At 42.5% G+C, this 3888-nt stretch overlaps 2 annotated features.

Annotated features, from left to right (window-relative positions):
- Nucleotides 1481–1980: an enhancer, noted in NCBI's record as "H3K4me1 hESC enhancer chr2:131498507-131499006 (GRCh37/hg19 assembly coordinates)". NCBI's record gives its function as "activates a minimal SCP1, AML or CMV promoter by ChIP-STARR-seq in naive H9 embryonic stem cells {active_cell/tissue: H9 hESC(naive)}" and the evidence as "EXISTENCE:reporter gene assay evidence [ECO:0000049][PMID:30033119]".
- Nucleotides 1981–2482: an enhancer, noted in NCBI's record as "H3K4me1 hESC enhancer chr2:131498005-131498506 (GRCh37/hg19 assembly coordinates)". NCBI's record gives its function as "activates a minimal SCP1, AML or CMV promoter by ChIP-STARR-seq in naive H9 embryonic stem cells {active_cell/tissue: H9 hESC(naive)}" and the evidence as "EXISTENCE:reporter gene assay evidence [ECO:0000049][PMID:30033119]".

Here is a 3888-nt window from a genome sequence, read left to right as displayed (position 1 = left end):
TAGGCCCAGCGTGGTGGCTCATGCCTGTAATCCCAGCACTTTGGGAGGCTGAGGCGGGTGGATCACCTGAGGTCAGGCGTTCAACACTAGCTTTGCCAACATGATGAAACCCTGTCTCTACTAAAAATACAAAAATTAGCCAGTCATGGTGGCGGGTGCCTGTAATCCCAGCTACTCCGGAGGCTGAGACAGGAGAATTGCTTAAACCTGGGAGGCAGGGTTGCAGTGAGTGGAGATCATGCCACTACACTCCAGTCTGGGCAACAGAGTGAGTGAGACTCCATCTCAAAAAACAATAATAATAATAACAAATGATAAATAAGTAACTTGAAGAAAGCAGCAAGACCAAACAAGAGCTATAATCCTAGGGTTTTAGCTGGTCCCAAGATTGTAGACAGTATTAATCATCTCCCTGCCCTGTCACCCATTCTAGATCCTTTCAGCCTTGCAGGTAGAGGTGGCCCAGAGCTTCACCCCTGAGGGATCTGAGACCTTACTTTCCTCACCCTCGATTGGGTCCAGCTGCTCAGTCTTTCTGTGTTTCTCCATTTCATGTGTGTTTTTTTTAACGTGTAGTTGACTTTATATTTTTTTATCCAGTCTGAAAATATGTTTTTATTTTATTCCATCCTTTTATGGAACTCCTAAAAGAAACCATATATTATAGGATTTTTGTGTGCTTGTGAAGTTACCAGAAACTGCATCAGAATTAAGCAATTAACTGTGGAAATGACTTTAAATAGTCATAGTTAAAGACTCTTCGTGTAACGACTATTGTCTTTTTCCCGTGTGTATTTTAAGCCCTAAAGATACTTTTATTATTGTTGTTGTAGGCAGTCAGTGCATTTACTGCTAACTTTTCTTTTCCGGTTTCCTTTGTTCGTTTCTGTGCTCTGTGCATCCTGAAGGGCCCTTTGTTCAAGATGACATTTTTGTTCGTTACTTGTTCAGGTTTGTTGAACAATTTTATTATTTTTTTAAAAAACAAAATATGCTTTATTCCACTTTTAATTTTGGAGCATATTTTCCTCAGGTATAAAGTTTGAGGTTTGCAGTCTTTTTCTTCTTTCAGAGCTTTGAGATATTACTTCATTTTTTTCTGGCTTCCATTATTTCTCAGATATGCCAGTCTTCTTTTTGCTCCTTTTAAAGTAACATGTCTTTTTTTCTGTGGTTACTTTTATATTTTGTCTATCCTTTATTTTTAGCAGTTTTAGTATAATGTGTGGTTTTCCTTGTATTTATCCCCTTTGGTGTTCACAGGGCTTCTTTAATCTGTGGTTTGGCATCTTTTATTGATTTTGAAAATTGTTGCTTAGTGTTTCTTTTTTTTTTTTTTTTTTTGAGATGGAGTCTCGCTCTGTCTCCCAGGCTGGAGTGCAGTGGCATGATCTGGGCTCATGACAAGCTCCACCTCCCGGGTTCGCGCCGTTCTCCTGCCTCAGCCTCCCGAGTAGCTGGGACTATAGGCGCCCGCCACTACGCCTGGCTAATTTTTTGTATTTTTAGTAGAGACAGGGTTTCACTGTGTTAGCCAGGATGGTCTTGATCTCCTGACCTCATGATCCACCTGCCTCGGCCTCCCAAAGTGCTGGGATTACAGGTGTGAGCCACTGCTCCCGGCCACTTAGTGTTTCTTTAGATATTGCTTCTCTCCCAATCTCTTATTTCTGGGATTCCAGATATAGATATATTCCGGTTTTTTTTTTTGCCACATCCCATATCTCTCCCGTGCCCTTTCTGCATTTGCTATCCTTCTCACTGCGCTTCAGTCTGAATATGTTCTACTGTCCACTGGGACAGGCCGCTGTAATTTACCTGACCTCTTGCATGGCCTCCCTCCTCGGGCATGCCACAGAGAGCCTGGGATGTTCGCAACTCTTCTCCCCCACGGCCGGACTTGACTCCAGCTTCTGTTTCCCCTGCACCGTGTCGGCAACAACTTCCCACCAGCTCTTTTCCTCCCAGTGGTTGCTTTTTGCCTAGTTTCTTGGAGTTCAGCCCTGCCGCTGCACACCTTGAAGAGAATGCGCATGCAGGCTTTGGGGTTCCCTCTCCCTAGCTCCCCTCTGTCTGTGCTGCTGGCCCTTCTACCCTCAGGGCAGTTATGCTGTTGTGCTGTGCTTGGGCTCTGTTCCCTGTGGGCCGCGGAATAACTTCCAGGGGAAGAGCCAGACTAGATATGGAACGCAACTCATGAGTTTCCTTTCATTCAAGGATTTCAGACCCTTGTCTCGGCTGCTTTGGTTGCTCTTTGTAATGCATACTATGGTTTCAAGGGATTTGTCCAGCTTTTATCAATCATATGGTGTGAGGGGGAGACCTGGAGAGGCCGCGCCATTGCTGCCAGAACTGGAACCCCTCTGCTCCTTGTTTTTCACACTCAACAGTTTGTCTGTTTTTTTTGGTATAAGCTTCAGTTATGTAATGACTGTATTGTATTCCATTTTATGGATGCAGTATAATTATATGAACATATCTCTAGGAGCGAAATAGGTTATTTCCCAGTATTCTGCTACAGTGAATATCTTTGAACATATTTAGTTTGTACATGTGCAATGAGAGATGTAGGATAAAGACCTAAGAGTGGAACCCCTGGGTCACATGAGTGGATCACTCGTGTGGTGGACTGTTCTTGCATATTGTATTCAGTGCCAGACTGCCTGAACTTGAATTCCAGTTCTACTGTTTATTAGATCTATGGCCCTGGGGAAGATACTAACCCTCTGTGTGCCTCAGTTTCCTAATCTGTAAAATGAGAAGCGATATGGTATCTATCGCATAGGATCATTATTATACATATTTAAAATATTGTTAGTTATTGCACATTGCCCTCCCTAAGAGTTTAAACAGTTTACATTCTCACAAGCCAGACTTATCACACTTGTCAATGGAAAATATTCTTAAATTTACTAAGTCTTTACCAAACCAAGAGGTGAGAAATGGCATGTCCATGTGGCCTTATTTTCCACGTCTCTTGTATGAGTGAGGCCAATCATCTTTTCATATATTTATGGGCCATGGCCATTTCTCTTTATGTGGACTGTGTGTGTGTTCTTTGACAATTTTAATTGGCTTATTCATCTTAAACTTATTGAATTTATATATTTTTGAAAACTGGCCCTTTTGCATATCAGTAGTAAATGTTTTGTCACAATTTTTGATTTGCCTTTTTACTTCACTTACGGCATTTTTCCCTTCTGCAGAACTCTCTAGTATTCTATGGGAAAATCAGTTAATATTTCCTTATAACACTTCAGTATTCTTTATTGTACTGAGAAACCTTCCATACTGTGAGAGTGTAACAACTGGCTGGGCACAGTGGCTCACGCCTGTAATCCCAACACTTTGGGAGGCCGAGGTGGGTGGATCATGAGGTCAGGAGATTGAGACTATCCTGGCCAACACGGTGAAACCCCATCTCTACTATAAATACAAAAAATTAGCCAGGCGTGGTGGCTCGCACCTGTAGTCCCAGCTACTCGGGAGGCTGAGACAGGAGAATCGCTTGAACTTGGGAGGCACAGGATGCAGTGAGCCAAGATTGTGCCACTGCACTCCAGTCTGGCAATAGAGTACAACTCCATTAAAAAAAAAAAAAAAAAGAGTGTAAAAACTTCTAGCTCTTTATGATTGTATTTTGATGTTTAAATATTTGATTAGCCTGGAAATTGTCTTTGTCTGGATGGTCTCCTGGGCGTTCCACATGATTGATTGGATAATCCATCATTTCCCACTGCTATGGAATGGTGTCTGTCAAGCTATGTATCTATCATCTCTTTAATTCTATCAGTCAGGGACCAGCCAGAAAAACAAAACCACACTATTCTTTTAATAGAACTAGGCCGGGAGCGGTGGCTCACGCCTGTAATCCCAGCACTTTGGGAG

Source organism: Homo sapiens, chromosome 2 (assembly GCF_000001405.40).
Source record: "Homo sapiens chromosome 2, GRCh38.p14 Primary Assembly".
NCBI classification, from domain to species: Eukaryota; Metazoa; Chordata; class Mammalia; order Primates; family Hominidae; genus Homo; species Homo sapiens.
The sequence above is the reverse complement of the archived record's forward strand: the minus strand, read 5'-3'. Positions and strand labels throughout refer to the sequence as shown.